Here is a 26509-nt window from a genome sequence, read left to right as displayed (position 1 = left end):
CAGGAAGATTTTCCATCTCTCTTCTCAAATCTTAACAAACCTCAGTAAATTTTTCTTGCTCAAATATCATGCTTTCTCAATTTATGATCTCCACAGCCGTACACAGTCTATTTAAGCATGAGTCCTGGCAAATGTGGTTGTTCCTATAGCCTTCAAAATAGTTTTTATATCTGTAGCACAGATTCATGTTCCTTTTGTAGGCCATTCTGCTTCATGTTCAATCTCTAATTTTAGAAATCCGTTTCATAACAGAATATACAAAATGTATATACAAAAGTTTATCATTAAAAATTAAATGTTATAAATAATAAATGTTCAACACAAAAGGTAACACAGATATGATGTTGTGTGATCACTTGAATTCTTCTGAAAGCTTCACTGCATGAGGGGGGAAGTTATACCATTATATTAGAAAGGACTCAAAGCCCTTCCCAAAGCACAGTTTTAGAAGAGTAGAATAAATACATAGAAAACACTCGAAGAAAGCATTTAAGATTATTCATAATGAATATCTTTGGCCAATAAAATTCTGAGTAATTACTAATTTATTATACTTCTCAATGTATCGCAATTTTTATAAATATATACATCTTTTATGAGGAAAAAAATGGTCCAAGAAATTCAGCTTCCATCTTAACATTAAAAAATCCCTTTCATGAACTGTAACTAGGGGCCACAATGAGTAACCACTAAGTACTTCCAATTTTTTAAACTCCAACAGAGTTAAAAAGTTCATGACAATGGACAAATATATTTGTTTTTAAAAATCAGTTAATATCCTGCTAACTATCACCATCCAAAAATAAGACCCAAAAAAGTGCTTAGCGTTGCTGAATCTGGTATTTGAGGCCCTAAGGCACCAGTGATGCTCCGGAGCCAGCCTGCCCCAGGTGAACTCCTGGCTCCATCACTTATTGCACCCACAGAATTGCTGTATTATCAAAGATGTGGCACCTGTAAACCATTTAAAACAGTGCACAGTAAGTGATCAATACACAGCTGCTTCTTTTTACTGTTATATTTTAAATTACTATTACCTCCACCTTTTCACTCTATCTCCTAGTACACATCTACACTCCAGCCACATGAACAAAGTCCTACTACCCAAATACCACTCTTTTGCTAAGGCTACTCCATGGGTCTTCTTTATCCACCTCTGCCCGTAAATGCCACGTCCAAACCCAATGCCAGTGCTGTCTCCCCCAGAGCTTCCCACCACACACCTATAGACATGACCCTGGCACAACAGTATTTATGCCACCATTACCACCCTAACCCCACTCTGCCCTGAACTGCAGGTAACTGCATGCATGTCAGCCTCTAGCCCCTGAAGTGGAAAAAGCCCTGTTCACCTCACCCTCCAGAAGGCTAATAGTCTCAACTACAGCTGACTGTCAATACAGGAGTAAAAGAAAATCATAACCATCAAACCAACTCATCTCCTAAAACATCTACTTTGGGTTGCTTTACTGAAACAAATGTGAGTTAAAATTTGTAAATATTGAAGATGAGATAAGTAAGCACAGTTAAGTGATACTTGCAACCTAAGAGTGGAACAAATGAGTTTGCTGTGGTTTAGCTCTATAACTCAATCCAATGCAAAGGGCACAAAAGCTAGTACTTTTGCTATAGAGAATGACTGTTCTATGTGCTAAAAAAAATTTATATAATTATAAACTCTACAGTTTAATCAGATAAATCTTGGGAATGACTCTGGTTTATTTCCTTTTAAATACTAAGTCTCTTTTCTAAAAGGAGTATTTTTAAATGTGGCATTACTTACACTAAAAGCATTAGAAAATCTGATGGGCAAAACACTGAGTACTGCTGAAGCCAAGAGGCTAGGGACGTGAGAGCTCATTCTAGTATTCTCTCCACTTCTGTATATGTTTTCAGTTTCTTGCCATTGAGTTTTTCGAAAAATTAAAGCAGGAGTATGTGAGAAAAGTGTCAGAAGTACAGTCATCTTCAAACCACAAAATAAGTGAGCTACTGGACAAAAGCAGCTAACTAAAAGAAATTTAAAGAATCAGTGACACTTTCTGACAAGAGAGCTTACAAACATACCATGACTGAGCAAAATGTGTGGGATTTTCTTGTTTCTCTTCTGGGAAAGGGAAAAGGGTTAAAATAGCTTGAGCAACTATTATTCATGAAATGTTTTTAACTAAGTCACTAACAAAGATTTGCCTATGTAAGCTTTGATTTCTATAACTTTTTTTTTTTGAAGCATTCATTGTGTTAACACAAATGTAGAGCTGTAATGTGAAACTTCAGGGAGCCGGGGTAAAACTCCCTTTCAGATGTCATCAGCTAGTTTTGAGTGATCGACACAGGTCAAACTTCATAGTGCCAAGCTGGGCAATAGAGACAGATTCCACCACCAGTCTGATCAGCTGCCATTCTCTCGCCGCTCTTAGGGGAAAAAACTGTACACATTAGCAACTTCCCCCAAAATCTCTTCTTGCTACCCAAAGTCATATTTGATTTTTATCTTCATACTTTTTCATATTATAAACAACACATTCTTCATGATATCTAAGAGATGAATTATACAATTTAACACATAATTTGTTATACTTAGAGCTAAGAGATTTTCAATTTCATTTAATTCAAATCGTTCCTTTATCAAATGTGGAAAGTGAGGTCTAGAGAGGTTATATGCCTTACTTATGAGTATCTGAAAGTAACAAAAACTTTGAAAAGGTTTAATCATAAAACCAAAGTTAACATAATATTCAACTGCCATTTTAATTAAGCATTCAAACTACTCTGTTACAGAAGTGCAGGTTGAGCATCTGTAATACAAAACTCCAAAATGCTCCAAAATTTTAAATCTATTGAGCACAGACATGATGCCACCAGTGAAAAACTCCACACCTGAACTCATATGATGGGTTACAGCCACAGCTCAGCCAAAACTTTATTGTGTGCACAAAATTACTGAAAATATTGTATAAAATTACCTTCAGGCTGTCTACAGTATATAAAACATAAATGAATGTTTAGTCTTAGGTCCCATCCCCAACATATCTCACTACATATATGCAAATATTTCAAAATCCGAAACAGTTGTACTCCCAAACACTTCGAATTAGGGATACCCAACCTACGTTTGTAAATATATCTGTGTATAACAAGAATATGAGCACTTATATATAAATGAAGACGCAAAGGAAAATGTCCAGAAGAAAAAACAGCAAACCTTTACTAGTCAGGGCAATGGGCCTGGAGAGCTAGGGGAGGAGCGGTAGGGAGGAGTTGTAAAAGATGACTTTAAAAAAAAAAAAAAAATCAAAAGAATTTTAAACATCAACTCAAAAAGAATTTTTTCTAAATAACGGTAATTAGGATATTAAAATTTTCACTAGTAAAAGTCACTACTAAAGATATATATATATAATTACATATATAAATAGATATATATAATTATATACATATATAGAGATGTATATAGAGATATATACATATATAGATATATAGAGATATATAGAGATATACATAGATATAATTTTTTTTTTCATTTTTGGAGACAAGAGTCTCACTCTGTATCCCAGGCTGGAGTGCTGTGGCATGATCTCAGCTCACTATAACATCTGCCTCCCGGGTTCAAGCAATTCTCATGCCTCAGCCACTCAAGTCGCTGGGATTACAGATTATAGGCATGTGCCACCACACCTGGCTAGTTTTTGTATTTTTAGTACAGAAGGGTTTCACCATGTTCACCACACTGGTCTCAAACTCCTGGTCTCAAGTGATCCATCTGCCTCAGCCTCCCAAAGCACTAGGATTACAGACTTGAGCCACCGCACCCTGTCCCATCACTTTATATTTTCAAGAAGGTGGTGAGGGTGTGTTGGTGCCTGGGGTCTCTAGCTGAAGAAAAGGGAAATTTTTCTATCTCTGGTAATGTCTTTATGGATATAAACCTCAGTTAACTGGAATAGCTATGGAATGTATGCTTCTGGTTAACTAAAAATTAACCAGTAAACACTCTGTAGTAACCATTACAGAAAATACTTCTGCTTTAAAAAGTACGGTATGCCAGAGATAAGTTAGTGTTTCTTGACATTTGAGGCATTTCAAACACCTGATGTGTTGTACTGAACAATTACAACTGGATGTAGCCACAGAAGGGACAAGAAGTGGCTAACACTGGGACGTCCCCTGAAATTTTTAAGAAATAAATATATGTATCATCCTTAAAAAAAAAAAGAGGAATGACCATACATACTTATGGATACACTTCAATAACATCAACAATGAGAACTTATTTACGCCTATTGATACAACTGAGAAACAAGTTTACATAACTGAACACACATGAATAGTACCCTAAAAATCACATGATGCCATGACACTGGATGACGTCCAGCACTGAAGATGTAGAGTGAGGCTTGCTGTCACTGTGCCTCTACCTCGTGGACTTCACAGTATAGTGTTCAAAACAGACAAAAATCACACTAATGTATGACTACGCACACACCATACACCATGCTAAAGTTATGAGGGAGGGAAAGATTGCTAAAAGAGGGAAACATTTAGATTTGGGGAAGGAGGACTGTCAGAAATAACCTTTCTGATATTTGACAAGTGAGACCTGAATTTGTAGTCTTTGTATCTGTAACGCTTCCTAAGCTCACGATTCTTTTCAATCCTAGATCCACATTAAAAAAGTTAGTGAGAAAGTTCAAAACTCCTGAGAAAGTAATAGGTGGGTGGGGATCTGGAGGTACTAAGGCTGTGCAGTCAAGACAATGAAAGACGGAAGGAGTCATGCATAGATGCCTGCAAATAATCAAGCAAGTCTCACAGAGGTGGGATGACTTGACTCGCTCCCTATAGTTGAAGAAAACAGAACTAAAGCCAAGAATTAGGAAAAGGATGCAGGAGACTAGGCAGAAAATAGATAAAAGAACAAAAACATCCAATAATGGGACAGCTGCTTTATGAATGGCAGCCCCCAGTCATTCCTGCAGAGCTTGGGACCCACAGCATCTGCCTGGGCCATGATTCCAACCCTAGGTGGGAAGCGGGGTTCAACTGCTCTAGAGTCCTCTCAGTGGGCCTCATCTTCACCCAAAGGCCGACATCACTAAAAAATCATTTAAGTATCTACCTACCCCATGAAATATAATCAGAGGAACAGCTAAAATGTAAAAGAAAACTGTCTCCACCACTCAGCTTGTTTTTTCATCCTTAGATTCTGTACTTTCTGAGAATGTACATGCCGTAAGAGCAAAACTGTATTCTGGAATCATGACGCTGGATACTTGCTTATACTGAACCATTCTAAATCCATACATTCCACTACACAATCCCACCCCAGCCATGCTCAATAGGAAACTGACTGTATTAATCCTTACATTCCTCCAAGCACCTGCAAAGAACCTGTATGCCTAACGGCTATTAAACAGTAATCCTCACATATCCTGCTTCTGTACAAGAAAATAACTAGTACTGCTATTTCCACTTTAAACAACCACAAAACTGAAGAAAATATTTGCGCCAACTGTTTTCTGACAATCAACAAATGGTAGCCCAAGACTGTGATCCCTGAAGGGTCATGAGTCTCCTGGTTGTCTGGGAACAATTTCCCAACATGGTGAAACGAACTAGAGGCTCAGTAAAGCATGGCGGGCATGCTGAGATGTGAAGGTAAAGCTTGGTAAAGCTTAGAGTTCAGGCATCTGAAACCATGTGCCAGAGAGAAGGGAGGTGCACAGAAGGGGACCTCCAGAAGTCTGGATGTAGGAGAGCCATGAGGACCAGAATGCACATGGGCCAGGTGAAACAACCTGAGCCACAGAATGATTACTTAGAGGCTGAGACCAGAACCAAAATGATAGACAATGAGCAAGTCTGGGGGATCTGGGGTCCCTACCCAGCCACAGACAAGAAATCTCATTAACACCTTGTGATAGTTAACTTTATGTGTCAACCTGCCTAGGCCACAGGGTGCCCACACATTTGGTCAAGCATTATTCTGGGTATGTGCATCTTATGACTGCTCAGCCTCCACTGTCACGTGAGCCAATTCCTTACATCAATTTATATTTGTTTATTTACTTATGGATACATACATATATACACGCCTGTGTATCTCTTATTGGTTCTGTGTCTCTGGAGAACCCTAATACACACCTGAACATTCCCTTCCTCCTTCAAGACTAAGAACCACACTCTAGCATACAGCCTACTCCAAACCAGTACCAATAATGTCTAAAACAAAATCCAGACAAGAGTCACAGGAAAACCCAGTTTGAAAGTCATGGTCCACCATATTAGACAGGGTAAGGAATCACCTTGAGGTTACCTAAGGTAAATAAATTTTGCCTTAATAAAGTATAAAACCAAGCCTACACAAGTTCAAGGTGACCAACCAGACTTTAGAACAAAAATCAACCTTCTTAGGAGAAGAAAAAAAAAAAAACAGTATTCATCAAAAGTTCCAAGGGAAGCATGCCAGGCATGGTTTGGGAGGCTAAGGCAGGATGGCTTGAGGCAAGGAGTTCAACACCAGCCTGGTGAACACACACACACACACACACACACACACACACACACATATATATATATATATTTTTTTTTTTTTTTAATTAGCTGAGCATAGTGGGGCACACCTGTAGTCCCAGTTATTCAGGAGGCTGAAGTGGGAGGACCACTTGAGCCCAGCAGTGTGAGGTAGCAGTGAACTATGACTGCACCACTGCACCACTGCACCACTGCACTCCAGACTGGGTGACAGAACAAGACCTTGCCTCTGTTGTTGTTTTTTAATACAAAAATAATTAGTAGGCAGCAAAGAAACAGAAAAATGTGATCCAATAAGGGGGAAAAAGGAGTCAGTAAAACACCAACCCCATGTTAGAACAGATGTTAAATTTAGCAGCAAAGATTTTAAAGCAGCTATTTTATACATTCAAAGAATTAGAATTATTTTCAAAATCTTAAAGGAACACATGGTCTTTAATGTGTGAACAGATAGGGGATCTCAGCAGAAAAATAAAAATTATAAAAAAAAGAACAAAAAGAAAACTCTAAAAATGAATAACATAATAACCAAAGGGCAAAATTTACTAGATGAAATTAAACAGCATATTGAAGATGGTAGGGAAAAAAAATCAGCAAACTTGGAAGACAGATCAATAGAAACTATCTAATCTAGGCCAGGGACAGTGGCTCACGCTTGTAATCCCAGCACTTTGGGAGGCTGAGGGGGGGCAGATCACCTGAGGTCAAGAGTTCAAGACCAGCCTGTCCAACATGGTGAAAACCCATCTCTACTAAAAATACAAAAATTAGGCAGGCATAGTGGTGCATACCTGTAAATCCCAGCTACTTGGGAGGCTAAGGCATGAGAATCACTTGAACCTGGGAGGCAGAGGTTGCAGTGAGCCGAGATGGCACCATTGCACTCCAGCCTGGGCAACAGAGTAAGACTCTGTCTCAAAAAAGAAAAGGAAAGGGAAAGAGAAAGGGAAAGAAAATTGTCTAAAGAAGAGAGAGAAAAAAGACTAAAGAAAACTGAACAGACCCTTAGTGACCTGTGGAACAATATCAAGTTGTATAATGCAAGTAAATAAAGTCACAGAAAAAAAAAGGGATAAATATCTGAAGAAACCATAGCTTAAAATCTTTCAAATGATAACCATACCCAGGCACAGCAGAGTAAAACAGCTTAAAGCAGAGAAATAGAAAATCTTGAAAGCAGCCAGAAGAAAAGACTGGTATATCGAGGGAATAAAGATAGTCATTACCACTTACATCTCATCACAAACAATGGAAGCCAGAAGACAATGGAACACCATTAAAGTGCTAAAAGACAAAAAGTATCAATCTAGAATTCTACATTCAGTGAAAAAACCTTCAAACTCAAGACTGAATACAGACATTTAGAGATTAAAATTTGTAAGAAGGGAAAAAAAGTGAGAGAAGTCCTTGCCAGCAGAGCTGCACAAGAAATGCCGAAGAGTGTTAAGACAGAAAACTGATACCAAATGGAAACAAAGTTTTCATAAATATTTTTCCTTTGGATACTTATATTTAAAAACTGAGAGTTTTAAACAAAAATAAATTTTAGTTGTTTAAAATACAGCTTAAAGCAAAAATAATAAAATTGTACATAATGTATAATATAAGTAGGAGTAAAAACATGGCAGCAATTGCACAAAGGGATGGCAGATAAATCAATCTGATGCTCTTTATGGCTACTACATTTGGCAACTGGGGAATGGGAAGTGGGAAGTGGAAATTGTCAGTGTGAAGTAGGAGTTGCAACAATATTAACTCTAAATATTTGAAAATATGTAATGTGTATATCCCTCAAAATGTAGAACACCTTCCAAAGTTCATGTGAAGAAGAGCTTATACACAGTAATTGCGAAAGATACAAAGAACCTTTCATTACAAAAGAGAAACCAAATTTCACACCAAAAGAACTAGAATTGGCTGGGCGTGGTGACTCACATCTGTAATCCCAGTGCTTTGGGAGGCTAAGGTGGGTGGATCACCTGAGGTCAGGAGTTCGAGACCAGCCTGGCCAACATGGTGAAACCCTGTCTCTACTAATAATACAAAAATTAGCCAGGTGTGGTGGGGCACGCCTGTAATTCCAGCTACACAGGAGGGTGAGAAAGGAGAATTGCTTGAACCCAGGAGGCGCAGGTTGCAGTGAGCCGAGATGGTACCATTGCACTCCAGCCTGGGCAACAAGAGCGAAACTCTGTCTCCCAAAAAAAAAAAAAAAGGAACTAGAAATAACAAGACTATCTGAAAAACTTCAAAATACGTATCTTAAGGTGTAGAGAAATAAAAAGTATTTTGTAAAAGGTAAAAAACAGGCAGGTTCAAGAAAAAAAATCAAATATTAAAATTAATACACACGTTTATGTTCATGATTGGCTCATGACCATGAAAACTTTCCACTGGCACCTTTCTAAGTGTGAACATCTTTTTTTTAAACACTACATATGCTTATATTTTATTCACAATGGGCTATATTAGACCAGTCCAAAATTAACTACCTAATATAGCACAATAAGAAAAATATAGTCCAATTATAACCTATTTTCTTTCCTTTTTTTTTGAGACAGAATCTCGTTCTGTCGCCCAAGCTGGAGTGCAGTGGCACGATCTCAGCTCACTACAACCTCCACCTCTCGGCTTCAAGCAATTCTCCCGCCTCAGCCTCCCAAGTAGCTGGGACTACAAGTGTGCACCACCACACCTGGACAATTTTTGTATTTTTAGTAGAGACAGGGTCTCATCATGTTGGCCAGGCTGTCTTGAACTCCTGACCTCAAGTGATCCGCCCACCTCAGCCTCCCAAAGTGCTGGGATTACAGGCGTGAGCCACTGCACCTGGCCCCTATTTTCAACCTTGATTTAACCAAGCAACTTTAGAAAGGGTACAATCATAGTATATTTTTGGCTACTCTTCTGCAATCTGCACTTTCTCAGTCAATAAAATTCCTAGATGCTAAAATAAATTCCAATCATTCATATCATTTCCCTAAACTCAGACTCATTTTTAATACTTGATAAAAATTACCACTGTCAGCTTACACTGACCCTAAAAGAACAATAACTTCCATTATTTAGAGAAAAGTCGCTCAAAACCATTGTTATAAAAAACAGATTAGGTGGTAAAATTTTGGGAGCTGTCTCCCAGGTTGGATCTCAAATTTGGATCATCAAGTTAACACTAAAAAGTTATAAAACTATGACTAATTCTTATTATAGCTGGAAGTATACTTATGATATATCTACAAGTTGCTACTTCAAAAGCAACCTTCCTACTTTTCCAAATAATTTATAGGAGTGTGATAAGCTGGAAAATGGTCCACCAAAAGATATCTACATCCTACACTGTGAAACCTATAAATGTTTTATGATTTGGGGGAAAAACAGGTCTTTGCAGGTGTGATTAAGTTGAGAATCTTGAGATGAGGGGATTATCCTTCATCATCAAGGTGGGCCCTAAATGCCATCACAAATGTTGAGAGAGGGAGGGGGCAATCTGACACAAAAAGAAGACAACACAACCATCGCAGGAGAGATTGAGGTAATGTGGCCACAAGTCAAGTAATGCTGGCATCCACAAGTCAAGAAGTACTGGCAGCCACTAGCAAGTGGCTCTCTCCTACAGCCTCCTAAAGCACAGCCCTGGCCCTGCCAACACCTTGGTTTAGGCTCAATGATTCTGATTTTGGACTTCTAGCCTCCAGAACTGTAAGAGAATAAATTTCTGTTGTTTTAAGTCACTAAATCTGTGATTTGTTACAGGAGCCACAGGGAACTAATACAAGTAGGTTAAAAAAAGTTTTCCAAATGTTCTTAAAATATATACATTCTACAAATGTCACCTATGAAAAATGCTTCAACCTGTGTTTGTATTCTTAATTTGCATTCTGGGATGAAAAACTGTGCTTAATCTACATCAACATCTCATTTGGAATGATGTACAGTCTCACTGCTTTCTCGTGAGTACCTTCAAGCTTTAGAAAGACAGAACCACTGGAAGACATGTAATGTAAACTCTCCACGCCTCTCATGCTCAGTGAAACCCAACACTGAGCTACCCAATCCTAAACAGTAGTACCTGTCTAGAAAGTTGTCACATATTCTATTAAGAACAGTAAATGTTAAAATGCCACACCAAAACTGTCAACAACATGAAAGTACAAACTGTATTTGTCTTTTTTTCACTACTTTACCCCAAACATCTGGTACAATCTTTGCCAAATAAATTAACCTTTACATTTCCTGTAAAGGTCCCCTACCACAAACTCTGCAGGAATGGTTCCCGCACTCTTTCCCTGCCTGCATCCTCCACCTTGACAATGAATCCACAGATCTCTATCCCCAATTTCATAATGGGGTAGCAGCAATCACACTCTTGTCAAAATCAAGGCAAACCAAATGTGCTGAAAAAGGAGGAAGAGTCTTATGGGTCTTATAAAAAAGGAAAATCCACTTATTTGAATATCCACACACAATCCAGATTTGGCCCCACCATTGCCAACCACTTCTAGGTTTTAAAAATCTCATGCTCTTTCCACTAAAGGGCTCTGCTCTCTCTACTCACAAGACTGTTGGGAATGATTAAAGTGACTTTGTAGGGAGTGCCTAGCCCATGGTCTGCATAACCAATCTTAGCTCTGCTTCCCTTGACTTCAGGGAATGGGACACATCCTTCATCTATGCAAGTTTCTCTATCATTTTATTTGCCTACAAGGTCCTAGTAAATGCACCAGGGTAGAAAGAAGAGTCCTCTGAGCAACCGACACTGTTCTCTCTGCGGTTTAAAAAAAAAAAAAAAAAAAGTTTCTCCTCCTGTCTCAAGCTGTGCTTTTTACAAAAGGATCACCTCACGTGGCCTCTCCGTTCCTCTGAACTTGTACAATATATTCACAACCTGTCCTGTTATGGTTGTAGGGCTCATTCATAAAAAGAAAATGATTCTTAAGGACATTATAATGAATAGTTTTTAAGTCTTCTCTCCTCTACTGGACTGTAACTTCCATACGGGCAGACAATGTGTCTCATTCAACTTGACATCGCCAAAGTACAAAGCAGAGTCTTCCACATAGGACACCAAAGGCATCAAGTTGTCATTTGGTATTTTATAAACTATGTAAAAACAAAAGTATCTATAAATTATTCAGTTTGTTCTGCTATTGGCAGTTACACAGGACAGATAACTTTTTCTGAGTCTGTTTAATTACGCAAAATCAAGAAGCCTAGGGTTTTACCTATTATTTCCCAGTTTATTCCTAAATGGAGATAATAGCACTTACCTTTCAGGGCTGTTGTACACAAAATCTTGCCAAACAACTTGTAATACCACCTAAAAATTTTTACGGCACTTTTATTTTTTTTTTTTTAAGAGACAGGATCTCACTCTGTCACCCAGGCTGGAAGGCAGAGGTGCAATCCTACCATACTGCAGCCCTGGACTCAAGACTGGACTCAAGCAATCCTCCCACCTCCAGAGTAGCTAGGATTACAGGTGCCTGCCACTGTGCCAGGCTAACTATTTTGTGTGTGTGTATGTGTGTGTGTGTACACTGCAGGGTAAAAAAATATATATATATACACATATATAAATATAAAATATACAAAAATATATAAATATAAATATATATATATATTTTTTTTTTAAGAGATGAGGTCTTGCTATGTTCCCAGGCTGCTCTCAAACTTCAAGCAATCTTCCTGCCTCAGCCCCCCAAAGTTTGCTGGGATTACAGGTGTGAGCCACTGTGCCCAGTCTTTTACGGTACTTTTAAATTTATGAAATAATTTGAAATACAACTCATCTCATGCTCTCTGAATCCTGTGTGGTACAGGAGCCAGGCAAGTATTAATTACGCACTTTCACATGTAAGGCGATTGGGGCACAGATGGCTAAGGTACTGGATCCCATACCACTGACAGCTGCATCACAATCACCCTGAGGGGCTTGTTAAAAAATTCAGATTCAGAAACACAACCATCAGAATCTCCAGAGGGTAAGGCCTGAACCTATATTTTGAACAAGGACCCCAGGCAATTCTGAAACATGGCCAACTTTGGGTATTTAGATTAAGAATTTGGAGCCCAAGAGGCCTGGTGATATTCAAGCAGCAGCTTCCTTTTATAGGACTAGTTTACTGAAGAGAACTATAGGTTCCTGCTCTGGAAAAGAGATGTCCCTTGTGACTAAATGTGTACTTAAGTGCTCCTAAGAAACCAGAGTGTAGCAAACTTCTAACTACTCTTCACTGGACTTTTAATTAGAGGAGACAAAGGTATAATCAGGGCTGGTTAGTTTTAGGTTTCTAATTAATTTCAAAACTTGTCTTTCAATATACTACCCTTAGCACAACTTGCCCAAATAATTTACTTTTTCCATTAATTACATTAATTCTTTGCTAAACAAAAATGAGGAAAAAGGGTCCCCAGAAATATACTAAGAAATAGCTTCATATATACTAGTTGTGGCAGAGACTCCAGTCATCATCTTCCATAGTAATGGTAGCCCAGCACATGACGGCCCAACTAGGTTATACCTCCCAGGCTCCCTTGTGGCTGGGTATGGCCATGTGGCTAAGTTCGCATGGAAAGAATGTGAAAACAAGTGCCACTTCTGGGCCTTAGGACACTGAGTGAGCATTTCTATTCTGTCTCTGCACCTCCTACTCTGCATCTTCTGAGCTAGTACAGAGACAACACACGAGGACTATACCCTAGGGCAGAGCAGAGGAACAAGACGGAAAAAAATGCATGACTCCAGATGACCACGTGAGGCAGTCACCGCCACCAACCTAGGCACTCACCTCCAGATGATTCCATGCTCTTAGAGCCATCAAATTGCTGGAACTGTTAGAGTGGCTCAACTGTTTACCCTAATTCACTACTCTCTACATGATAAATGGAACTAATTCCTTCTCACAACTACATCAGTTGAGGACATTCTAATGTGTTCACCATACTTGATGATAAAATTCTGCACCCTGAAGGGCTCTCAAAGGGTCGTCTACCAATTCTTCAAGTTTATAAACAATGAAAGTTAAGCCTATGGAAATTTTAAAACATGGTAGGTAGTAAGAATAGTTGATGCCAGGTCTCTTAACTTCCTAGTTCACTTTTCCCTCAATATTACGCTACGGACTAGATTCTAAAATCATAGAACAGGGAATTACACTTAAAAAAAAAAACAAAAAAACTTTGGATTAATTTAATTCACTGACTCAAAAAATAATTTACCCCAGCATCTATCAATTGCCAAGCAATGTATTTTCAGGTGAATGGAGATTTCCAGAGGACTTCAGTTTTCTGGCTATACTATGCCTTTAACTCTCCTGAGCCTGGACAAATTACACAGAAAACGGACAAATACAAAGAAGTTAACATTACCTTAAATGACAGAAAAATAACTCATTTTGAAAATTTTCTTTAAAGAGGGTAATATATTAGAAACCCTATTCTACTTCTCCCACTACTGCCCTCCATCCCCAACCTAAAAAAAAAAAGAGGCGTTTTCATTTATACCAAGTCCAAAGCCACAAACCAATAAACCCAGATAACAATATGCCTCCTATACCCCTTCTCCTTCCTAGAGGACAAGGGCACAGGGACCTGTGGTCCACCCACTTCACCTACTGGCCCTGCACTACACAGAAAACAGATACATGGGGCCAGGAATCACTCCCAGGAGGAAAGACAGCAATGACTTAAGAACATGTCCCTGAGAGAACATCTCCTATGTTTTGTGTGGCATATAAAAGCCCTGGCTTGTCATATGTTAACAAGGTGGAAAACATGAAGAGTTTTCAGTATACAGTGCCATTATGAAGACAAAAGGTTTCCAAATCCCAGAACAGAGTCTATCCTAACAGGGCTTTATTCACAAGGATAAAAACCAATTGACTTGGATGCAAAATTTCACAGAGTAAATGTTTCCACCCATCTAGAATGTTTTTCTTTTTAATCCATTAAATGTAAGTAAAATCTTAGTATTAAAATAATATAGCCAAAATCACATCCTAAGGTTTCCAAAGATGGGAGAGGGGACACAGATAATGCAGGGCAGGTACTATGCCAGAGTAATTCTTATAGGATTATGTTTCTCAACCTTTTTTTGAGTATCCCATCCCCAGGAGAGAAATTTAATTTAAATTTAATTCAATAAATTAAATGTATTCTTAACAAGGGAAATTAAACATTAAGGAATAAGGTTTTGTCAGGTAAGATTAACTTCTGGAGGGCCACAAACCATGATTAACATCTAAGATTTTCCATCCCCCTCCGAAGAACAATGAGGTGAGGAGCGGGAGCACAGATTCAAGCTGCCCTGAATATATACTCCCCAATAACAATCCTTACACCCTTGAAGGGCGACATCATCCTTACAGAGAATAAGAATACAGGGCCTAAAAATGCGATCTTCAAACTCTGTAACATCCAAACCTCTGCTAAGATACTTAGGTATAGTTAGCCTAGTTAGGTTAAACCTGAGAATCTACATTTCCTAGTGAGCTTTCGGACGGACTCCAATGTATCTGGCCCATGAGCCAAAATGTTTCTGACAAACTTCCACTGTCACATCCAAACCTAATCACAGGATGCCCATCCCTCAAGTCAGAATCAAGAAGAGAACTATTTAAATGGATGAAACAATCCAGGGCATGAAGAAGGGAGAGATCTGTCTGGGGGCGGGGACGCAACTACAGGGAATCTGAGATCCCTCTCTTCTTCCACCTGTACAAAGGACAACCACAGGTGAACTGTAGAATACTTGAGATCGTTTGTGAACTGTAACACGTAACCCAGGAGGAGGTTTATGTCACTGATTTCACGAAGTACATATTCAGGATTTCACAAGTACATATTCAGGGTTTTTATCTAGTCTTTTGCTACTTTAGGTGCAACGTGGAGCTGAGTATCCCATAACCTTTTTGGCACCAGGGACTACTTTTGTGGAAGACAATTTTTCCACGGACAGGAGGAGGTGGGAAATGGTTTCAGAATGAAACTCTTCTACTTCAGATCATCAGTTAGATTCTCATAAGGAGCATGCAACCTAGATCCCTCACATGTGCAGTTCACAACAGGGTTCGCGCTCCTATGAGAATCAAATGCCGCCACTGATCTGACAGGAGGCAGAGCTCAGGCAGAAATGATCGCTTGCCCAAAGCTCACCTCATGGGGTGCAGTCCAATTCCTAACAGGCCACAGACCAGTACCGGTCCACGGCCCAGTGGCTGGAGACCCCTGCCATAAAGTATTCATTGTTCTACTTTCTTCACTCCCAAATCTGTATTTATGATCCGTATCAAGATGAGTACAGTTCAACTGAATTTGAAAAATTATATTAATTTTATACTGCTATTTGAATGGAGTTATAGCAAAAGTTAGAAATACACCACTGCAGGTAACAAACCTGCATGTTGTGCACATGTACCCTAAAACTTAAAGCATAATAATAATAAAATTTAAAAAAATTAGAAAAAAAAAAAAGGGTTTAAAAAAAAAGAAATACACCACTGCATTACAAAATGAATCGGTCAGTAGGATTAGACAATAAAAAACAAACAGAATAAAAAAGTTATCTTTCTTTTTCCCTTTCAGAAAGAGACTTGGTTCATGTGGTAGTGTTCCTTGGTGGCCCAATAAACCACTCTTGCCAGTGTTCACACCTTGTACAATCCCCACCCCACCCCGAACCCCCTGAATCTGGGCTGGCCTGTGGCTTGCTTCTGGCCTACAGAATCCAGTGGAGATGACACTGCCAGTTCAAGGTGTAAGTCTTAAGAAGGCCTGGCAGCCTCAACTTTGCGCACTTGTGGGGAAACCAGTCACAGCTGTGAGAAAGCCCAAGTGTGCCAGGTGGAAAGGCCACCTGGAGGAAGATGCCCAGGGCACCAGGCATGGAAGGGAATCCATCACCTTGGACTGCCCAGTGCCAGCAGATGCCACGTGGGATGGAGACAGGCCCTGCCCAAATTGGAACACAGTGAGCAAAGAAATGAATATTGTTTTAAGCCACTGAATTTCGCCATGGTTTGTTAAGCAGCAACAGATAACCTCAACATGTTATATGACAACAAATACAAGGAAAGAATTACAACAAACCTGTTTGTAAAATGTTTCAAAATAAACATTCTACCTCTTCTGAAATAATTTATCTCCTGATTTGAAAAGAGGCTTGTACATTGTGACATCTCATATCAGCATACTTCTTTAACAAATAATTCAAAACTCCTACCAGATGGTTACTATTGGTGGTTGGGGAGTCAAGACCCCATCTTCCAGACCAGAGACCTATATGTACCCAGAAAAAAGACAGTTTATTAAACTCCGGTAAAAATGTGCCTGTAGGTAACCTCTTTGAGAGCACATCCTCCCAACTAAACAGAGAGTGGAGTTTCTGAAACTACTTGTACCCTTACAAAGAGGCAGTCTTGAGTAACAGAGAGTACTGCTACCTGCTGTCGGTAAAGCACATCATGGATACTTCTTTATCAATGCACTCACTTACTGAGACTACACATCATGTGGCAAGCATCCTGGATACCAGAAAGAGACAGCTCCCCACCAAAACAGCTCAATCTATCAAAGGCCCTACTATGGTCTGAATGTGTCCCCCAAAATTCATTTGTTGAAAACTTCATCCACAACATAACAGTGCTGGGAGATGAGGATTTTGGAAGATGTTCAGGTCATAAGGGCTTTGCCCTCACAGATTGGTTAATGCCATTATAAAAGGGCTTAACAGAGGAAGTTTGGTCTCTTCTGCTCTTTCACGTTCTGCCTTGTGAGGACACAGCATTTCTCCCCTCAAGAGGGTGCAGCGTTTGAAACGCCATCTTGGAAGCAGAAAGACTGGATCCTCACGAGACATCAATCCTGCCAACACTTTTATCTTGGACTTCCCATCCTCCAGAACTGTAAGAAATTATTTTGTTTTCTGTAAACTACCTAACCTGTGTTTTGTTACAGCAGCACAGACTATGACCAGTCTGAATACTGGTGTTCCCCACAGAATTTCTACATTAGGCCCTAACAGTATTAAGAGGTGGAGCCTTTGGGGAACTGTGGGATTCATGTCCTTGTAAAAGAGGTTAAAGGAAGTTGCCCTGCCCTTCCATCATGTGAGGACACGGCAAGAGGCATCATCTATGAAGCAGAAAGCAGGCCTTCGGCAAACACCGAATCCGCTGGTGCCTTGATATGGACTTCTCAGCCTCCAGAACTGTGAAAAATAAATTCTATTTTTTATAAATTATTCAGTCCAAGGTATTTTGTTAGAGCAGCACAAACAGACCAAGACATGCCTCAAATACAAATAATAATTTTATAAATGCTATATATGATAATACAATAAGAAAGGAAGGAACTAATGAGAACAAAAGATGGAGCTATTCTTTCCACTTCTCCCCTGCCTCCTTCTAGGAAAGTCAGGAAAGACTACAGGAGATGACATCTGAGATGAGTACGTCAGGTTACAGAAGACTTGCCCCAAAATCAACCTCACTTGGATTGAGCATTTTAACACTGCTTCCATTAGGGGTATGTTGTCAGCTTTATTCCCCAACTGTCTCTACAACCTCAAAGAGCCTGTCACATACAGGCACACAAACATTTGTTAAATTCAGTGTTAACAACTACAACTATGTAACCTTGGGCAATTTACTCAACATCATTTATGAAAGATGGATAATGGCTTACAGAGTTGCTTTGAGGGTTAAATGACAGTATTTGGAAAATGATAACAGGCAACAAACAAGCTTGGGTGGCTTTACTAGTTTAGAGGATCTGTATGTTTGTTTAATGCACTGAACACACCTACTACATGCCCTGGCAGAGGCTCTGTGCCATATAGAAAACGTTATCAGAAAAGCACAGTATGCTCCAAAGGCAAAGCTGAAGAGGAGCCTAACACGAGTGGGAAAATGTAAGCTCTGAAGTAGAGGGAAGATGGCAGAACTGCAGAAAAGAAAACGGAAAGATAAACTAGGGCTAGGTTATCAAGAGAATCTGAATAGTTTAATAAATTTGTCTTCATTCCATACAAAGGAGAATCGTGGAAGATTATAGGCTGTAGAACAGCCCAATCAGGAACAGAGCAGGTAAACAAGGGGTTAAGGAGGACTGCAAAAAATAATAAAAGGCAAAAATTGGTTTGAAAGAGTATTAAAGCTTCAGCAAGTAAACAACATATTGAATAATCCATACATTTACCTCTGTTCTCTCACAAAACTGCACTGAAGATAAAACTCACCTAAAATCAGTAGTTAAAAAATAATAAAACAAGATACAAGACAGTGATGGACAAAGAAGTTTTTAGACAATGGATAGAAGATGGCACAGTAGTGGCAGGCTTAGGAGACTAAAGGAAGCCACAGAATAAGTGTCTACAGTTGAAGATGCCAAGGAAACTAGCTCATGTATCCCCAAACCTGGAAAGAGGACGAACAGGAGGCTCAGGACATGCACATATTCTCTGGCTCTGTCCACTGAAAGCCGAGGAGCGCCCACACACTAACACTACCAAGCACACCTAACATTCAGACATAGGTTTCCAAATGCCATTCTCCACTCCAAAGAACCAGGGCACTAGGAAGAGTTCTGAAATTTGGTAACAAATGCACAATCCATAAAAGAAACTTTTAATAATTAGACTTCATCAAAATTCAAAACAGCATCATTCCTGCCTGAGACATCTAATCTGTATCTAATATGAGGAAACACCAGGCGCACACTGAGGGTAACACTCTAAAATCACTGGTCTGTATTCCTCAAAAATATCAACATCACAAAAGAAAGAACAGGTAAGAAACTGTTCTAAATCAGGACAGTTGAAAAACAGTAACAGGCCGGGCGTGGTGGCTCACGCCTGTAATCCCAGCACTTTGGGAGGCTGAGGCAGGCGGACTGCCTGAGCTCAGGAGTTCGAAACCAGCCTGGGCAACATGGCGAAACCCCATCTCTACTAAAAATACAAAAAATTAGCCGGGTGTGGTGACAGGCACCTATAATCCCAGCTCCTTGGGAGGCTGAGGCAGGAGAATCACTTGAACACGGGAAGCGGAGGTTGCAATGAGCCAAGATCATGCCGCTGCACTCCAGCCTGAGTGACAGAGCGAGACTGTCTCATAAAAAAAGAAAAACAGTAACGACAAAATGTGTAAATGATCCTAGGCAACATTCTCTCCCCATAAAGAACACTACACTATGGGGGCAACTGCCAAAAACGGAATGGAGTCATATGGATTAGATAGCAGTAATGTCTCCATGTTAAACTGCTACTTTGATGGCTGTATTGCTGTTATGTAAGAGAATGCCCTTGTTTGTAGGAAAAATGCACTACAGTTTTCAAATAATGGACTTCATGCCAACAACGTTTAAATGGTGTAGAAAATAAGCTATTTGTACCATACCTGCAAGTTTTCTCAGTTATTGTCAAGAAAAATAAATAAAGGTAATAAGACCCCAAAATTGCGGCCCAAACCCCATCCAGGATGGCAACTATCCTAGCTCCAAAGACATCAAAGACATATTCTCTGGGGACCAGTGAATATGGAGACTTGGTACTGACAGGTATCAAGCACAACAGAAAATAGGTTTGAGGCACAGGACTGAAAACAAAAGTGAAGGCTGAGCACAGTGGCTCACAACTGCAAGCCTAGAACTTTGGGAGGCTGAGGCAGGAGGATCACTTGAGCCCAGGAGTTCCAGGCTGCAGTGAGTTGTGATTGTGCCACTGCATTCCATCCCAGGCAAGTGAGCAACACCCTGTCTCTAAAAAAAAAAAAAAACAAAAAACAAAATACATAAGTAAATACTACAGAAGTGAGCAAAAGTGTTTAGACAGAACTGTGCATGCCAGCCCTTCTTCCACAGTTCTGCCTGCAGAACACCAGCATGGGATTCACAACCCCAACCTGAGACCCAAGAGCACTGCCATAAAACCTTAGGGATACTCATATTCATGGGTCCACCAATCCGCCTACTAAGCCTCCAGCGAACAAGCCTCACCCTCGCAAAGAGCTCTCATCAGCTTTATGCCTTACTCCTAAATACAAGCCACATGCCCAAGGATGGCCAAATATTTGAGGAAAGCTGCCAACATCAAGGAAAGAAACCAAAACAAGCAGAGAAACAGGAATCCAGAGGAAACTGAGACAACGCTATGATGGAAAACAAAAAACAAACAAAAAAAACCAGTCCTCCATATATCCATAAGTTCAACCAACCTCGAATCAGAAATATTCTTTTAAGGCAGCACAGTAGCTCACACCTGTATTCCAAGCACTTTGAGAGGCCAAGGCGGGCAGACTGCTTGAGCCCAGAAGTTCAAGACCAGCCTGGGCAACACAATGAGACCCCGCCTCTACCAAAAATACTAAAAAATTAGTCGGGCATGGTGGTGTACGCCTATATTCCCAGCTACTCAGGAGGCTGAGGTGGGAAAATCACCTGAGCCCAGGGAGGTCAAGACTGCAGTATGTATTTGTTTATATATATATATACTTTTTTAAAAAAAGAGAGAGAGAGAAAAGTAAGGCCAAGTAGTGGTGGCTCATGCCTGTAATCTCAACACTTTGGGAGGCTAAGGTAGAAGGATCACTTGAGCCCAGGAGTTCAAGACCAGCCTGGACAACACAATAAGACTCCATCTCTTAAAAAAAAAATTTTTTTTTTTAATTTAAAAGCTTTTTTTTGGCCACTGCACTCCAGCCTGGGCAACAGAGTGAATGAGATTCCACCTCAAAAAAATAATATAGTACAAACTTTTTTGGCTGGGCGCAGTGGCTCACACCTGTAATCCCTGCACTTTGGGAGGCCGAGGCTGGTGGATCACGAGGTCAGGAGATGGAGACCAACCTGGCTAACACAGTGAAACCCCGTCTCTACTAAAAATACAAAAAATTAGCCGGGCATGATGGTGGGCACCTGTAGTCTCAGCTACTCGGGAGGCTGAGGCAGGAGAATGGCATAAACCCAGGAGGCAGAGCTTGCAGTGAGCCGAGATCACCCCACTACACTCCAGCCTGGGCGACAGAGCGAGACTCCGAAAAAAAAAAAATGGAGAAAAAAGAACTCAAAAGATTTGTCAAACAAGGCAATTTCTGGTCCTTGCTTAGATCCTGATTAAAATAAACTGTTAAAAAAAATATTGATGAGGCAAACAAGGCAATGTGAATTCTTACTGGATACTGGAAGACTCACTGTTAACCTTTTAAAGGTATGACAAAGGAATTGGTGCTACAGCATCCTTATCTTTTACAGATACACATTAAAATTTTCAAAAGTGAAATTATACATCTAGGTTTGCTTTTACAAATGCAAAAGAGGCAGGGTCAGGCTGGTGGCTCATGCCTGTAATCTCAACACTTTGAGAAGCCAAGGTGGGTGGACTGCTTGAGCCCAGAGTTTTGAGACCAGCCTGGGCAACATGGCAAGACCCCCGTCTCTACAAAATACAGAAAAATTAGTCAGGCAAGGTGGTATGTGCCTATAGTCCCAGCTATTTGGGAGGCTGAGGTGGCATCACCTGAGCCCAGGGAGGTCGAAACTGCTGTATGCCATGACCACTGCACTCCAGCCTGGGCAAGAGTAAAAAAAAAAAAAAAAAAAAAATCAAAGGGAAGAGGGACAGATAAAAACACAGAAATTTATAAGGAGGTCATGAAGGGAAGAGGGAGAGATAAAAACACAGACATTTATAAAGAGGTCATGAGTTAACACATGTTGAATTTGAATGATGAGTACAAGGAGCTCATTATATTTTCTACCTTTTCCATAGTGTTGTGTTTTCTTTTTAACGAAATCCAAAATTCAAACTGTATCTGCTGTATGAAGCTAGAAGGCCATGAAGCCACATATACAGAATTCTCAGTAAAAATTACATTCCAACTCCATTTCTATACCCAGTCAAAACTTTTAAAAATGAAAGCAGATTAAAGGTATTTTCTGACCGTATCTCAAAAAATTAGCCTCCCATGTACCCTTTTCTCAGGAAGTATTGAAAGATGTCCTCCAGTAAAACGAAGGATAAAAACAGAAACGATAATGGCCAGAAAGCCAGGAAACAGGAGATCCAACCATGCTGGAAAATATGCAAAAGGGATCCTATTAGGTCCAGAGAGCAAGAATTTCATAGAGGAGCAGTTTGATTGAGGCTCTATAAGATGGTTCTTAAGAGGGAACAAAAACAACTGTCGGATATTTTTTATTATACCAAAAACTACATTGAGTGGCTACTAAAAAGAATGAGAAAACTTACAAGTACTAGAAAACAAAGCGAATGGAAATACAATTACTAACTCTTAGAAAAACAAGATTATACAAGGTGGAAAATGTAATCATAGTACACAATCTGGTTTATGGTGAACAAAACTTAGTCATAATTAAGCATGGAATATTGATTTTACCAAAAAAGATTATATAACTATAATCAGGAGCTGGAAGAAAAAAGTGTGATAGGTGGCTTAATGTTAAATAGGCATCGACCTTAAATAAAATCAACAAATAATGTATTAAATCTTAAGGCAAATACAAAAATAGGGACAGGGTTGCCTACCCGGCCTCCAAATTCCCTTTCTTTCTTTGTAACAGAAGCTAATTTTGTTCAGAACCCACTTGCACACCCACCTCCATTTAGGCATGTGCTCAAGGAAAGCATGCCCAGTGCCAAGGGACCCACGTCCATTTAGACATGTGCTCAAGGAGAGCGTGCCCAGTGCCAGGAGTGAGCCTAACTGGTCTAAGTGTAATCCCATTTCCCTTTCTAGTGAGTCTTTCCTGAATCCAGGGCGTGTTCCTAGGCCAAGGTACCACATTCTTATCCAGCTACAAGAAAAATAATCTTCCCTTCTTCCCATGGGCACTGTTGCATCTGAATCCAACTCCTGACACTGCCGCAACCATCTGATTAATCTGAGGATAGAGCCTGCCAGTGACTAAAGGGGGAAATGAGAAAACCTGGGGCCCTGAAGACATCACTGTGCTACCAAATCAATTAGCCCCTGAGCCTGTCCCTGGAATTCCAATTGTGAGTTAAGTCCTCTTATTTTAAGCCAGTATGGGTCAGGTTCAATAGCTGCATCCAAAAGCATCCTGATAAAACAAGCACATTGTTTAGAATAGACAGGTAAATTGAAGAAGCAGCTAAAAGAACTGAGGAAAAAGTGATTACCTATAGGGCAGAGCTTGCCAACTGTTGTGTGTGGCACACAGCACCACAGATGTTTTAGATGTGCAAAGATCCCCTAAAACCCTCAGAATACCCAAAACGGTGTCTTCAATTTCGTCCATGAAGGCCCCGACGTGAGAAAGTCTGACAAGTATTGCTCTACAGCAGCGGTCTCTGACCTTTTTGGCACCGGGGACCAGTTTCGTGGAAGACAATTTTTCAAAGGACAGGGTGGGGGTTGGGGGTGGAGAGATGGTTTTGGGATGATTCAAGCGCACTACATTTATTGTGCACTTTATTTCTATTAGTATTACCTTTTAATATTAATATATAGTGAAATAATTATACAACTCACCATAATATAGAAGGAATACAGAATAAAATCTAAGAGTGGAAACTAAGGCCTGGTTTGAATCCTACCCTATCAACCACTTCCCATTTAAAATGGGAAAATTAGTTCACCTCTAAGCTTGTTTCATCATAGGTTAAATGAAAACAGTACCTTACTGGCTAGTGGTATGTGTACGTTTATAAAGTGCTCAGGGCAAGCTTAATAAAGATTGCCCTAACTATGTTAACGGGTGCAAAGAAGGTTTCCTACAATATGCTAATGTGAGCTGTCAATCTCCAAGAAGGTAATTTTCCCCAGGCTTATTTCCTTCATACCATCTGAAGGAGGAATGGTTTGCAGAGCAAATTTTAGGGAAGAAGAGCAGAAACAGAGGGAAAATCTTTCAGACTAATTTCTCCATTAACTAGAAGAACATGGTATGGTAATACTAAAAGTGCTTTCTTAAAGCAATAAAGCCTAATAGCTCTAAAATTCCGGTGAAACAAGTCATGAAGCGATAAGAAAGAAAAGCTCAGAGAACTTTGATGGAGGCTCCCATGACCCACCTCCTAGTGTTCACATCCTGTGCACACCATTCCCCGAGTGTGGGCAGTACCTGTGACTTGTTTTTAAGCAAGAGAATACAACAAAGGTAATGGCATGGCATGTCCATGGTTATGACACGTTAAGATGTACACCTCTTGCAAGGTGACTCTTTTACTGGCTTTGCAAAAGTAAGTGGGTGTGTCAGAAAGGACCACATGGCAAGAAACTGATGGCAAATGTTTGCTGATTGACAGCGTACAAAGAACAGAATCCTGCCAACAACCATATGAGCTTAGAAGAGATCTTTCTGTGGTTAAGTCTCAAATGAGACCACAGCCTCAGCCAACATCTTTACAGCCTTCTAAGACCCTAAAGCAGTGGACTCAGCTAAACTGTGCTCAGACATCTGACCCACAGAAACTGAGATAATAAATGGAAGTGTATATTTTAAGCTACTAACTCTGTGGTGATATTGTCATTTAGCAAGAGATAAACATACTGCTACATAATAAAGTTCTTCTACCATAGTCCCTGCTCTGCTCAAATACTGATTTTCAACTACTCTAACTTCATGTAGATGTATATATGAAGCCAACTTCTGCTTGTCACAATTGTTCTTAAGCAAACCTCACGTCCAAGATGTCAACATTAACCACAATCTGATCCTGCATTTTATGACAGCCACTTTAACAACCTTGTCTGCTAATTCTATTACCTGTCATTACTATTTCTATTGACTGAGTTTTCTCTTCTGTGTCTTCAAGTTCACTAATCTTTCCTTCTAAATGTCTAAAATACCATTAATGCAACCCAGTATATTTTTCATATCACATATTATAATTTTTGCTGCTAAAAGTTTGATCTGGGTCTTTTGTATACCTTCCACGTTTCTGCCAAACTTTCAGAACATATGAAATACAATAACTGTTTTAATATCCTTGTCTGTCAACCCTAACATCTGTGTGAGTTCTAGGTTTCAACTGCTTGATCTCCTAATTATGAGTCATGTTAACCTGCTTCTTTACACATTTAGTAATCTTTGATTGCATGCTGGACATTTTACATGATTAATATTGGGATCTGTTATATTCCTTTAAAGAATGTTGGGCACTGTAGTAACAGGCAATTACATTAGTTTCAGATTAGTTTGCTTCTTTGAAGGCTTGCTTTTAAGCTTTTTTCAGGCAAAGCTAGGAGTCTTTACTTCAGGACTAGTTTAGCCCCACTACCAAGACATAACTCTTCTGGGGTCTCAATGAATCCTGCATTTCCACTCTGGTTACAAGGTACTCAAATAATTCTCAGCCCTCTGTAAACTCTGAGATTTTTTCTGCTTACAGCTCCCCCAGAAACTGTTCTTTTGTGAAACTTCACCTTATACATGTACAATCAAACATTTAAGGGGACCACTAAGTAGATGTATAAGAACTCTTTCTCAGTATAGCTCCCTCCTCTCTGGAACTCTGCTCCTCAAATGACAACCACCCTTGGTTACCCCTAACTCCAATCTTTGTTTTCTCAACTTAGTGGGGCCACGTGGCTTTATCTGGGATCCCCTTCCTGCACTGAGGTGTGAAAAGTGCCTTCAAGCAGAAAACTGGCCATCACAGGGCTCATCTCACTTGGTTCCCATCTGTCAGGGATCACAGTTCTGTGCTACCTATTATCTGATATCTGAAAACAGTTCTTCCCTGTGTTTTGTCCAGTTTTCTAGATGTTTACAGTAGGAAGGCAAATTCAGAATAGTCAAAAGCAGAAGCCATGATTCCTGACACTGAAGTTTAAATGTTTTACACTAAGATACAACTACACACACACACACACACACACATACACCATTACCTATCACATCACCCCATCTTTATTTTTTTCATGGCATTTATCACTTTTTGTAATTATGTTATTTGCTTTCTTGTTTACTCTACATCTTACAATGGAACATAAGC

General features: G+C 39.7%; 1 protein-coding gene across 5 annotated transcripts in view; it reads right to left on the bottom strand.

Moving 5' to 3' along the window:
- DYRK1A (dual specificity tyrosine phosphorylation regulated kinase 1A) overlaps nt 1-26509 on the bottom strand; it is a 160786-nt gene that overhangs the window by 116127 nt on the left and 18150 nt on the right. The gene's annotated exons all lie outside the window — the stretch shown is intronic.

The sequence above is a fragment of the Homo sapiens genome, chromosome 21, assembly GCF_000001405.40.
Source record: "Homo sapiens chromosome 21, GRCh38.p14 Primary Assembly".
NCBI lineage: Eukaryota > Metazoa > Chordata > Mammalia > Primates > Hominidae > Homo > Homo sapiens.
The sequence above is the reverse complement of the archived record's forward strand: the minus strand, read 5'-3'. Positions and strand labels throughout refer to the sequence as shown.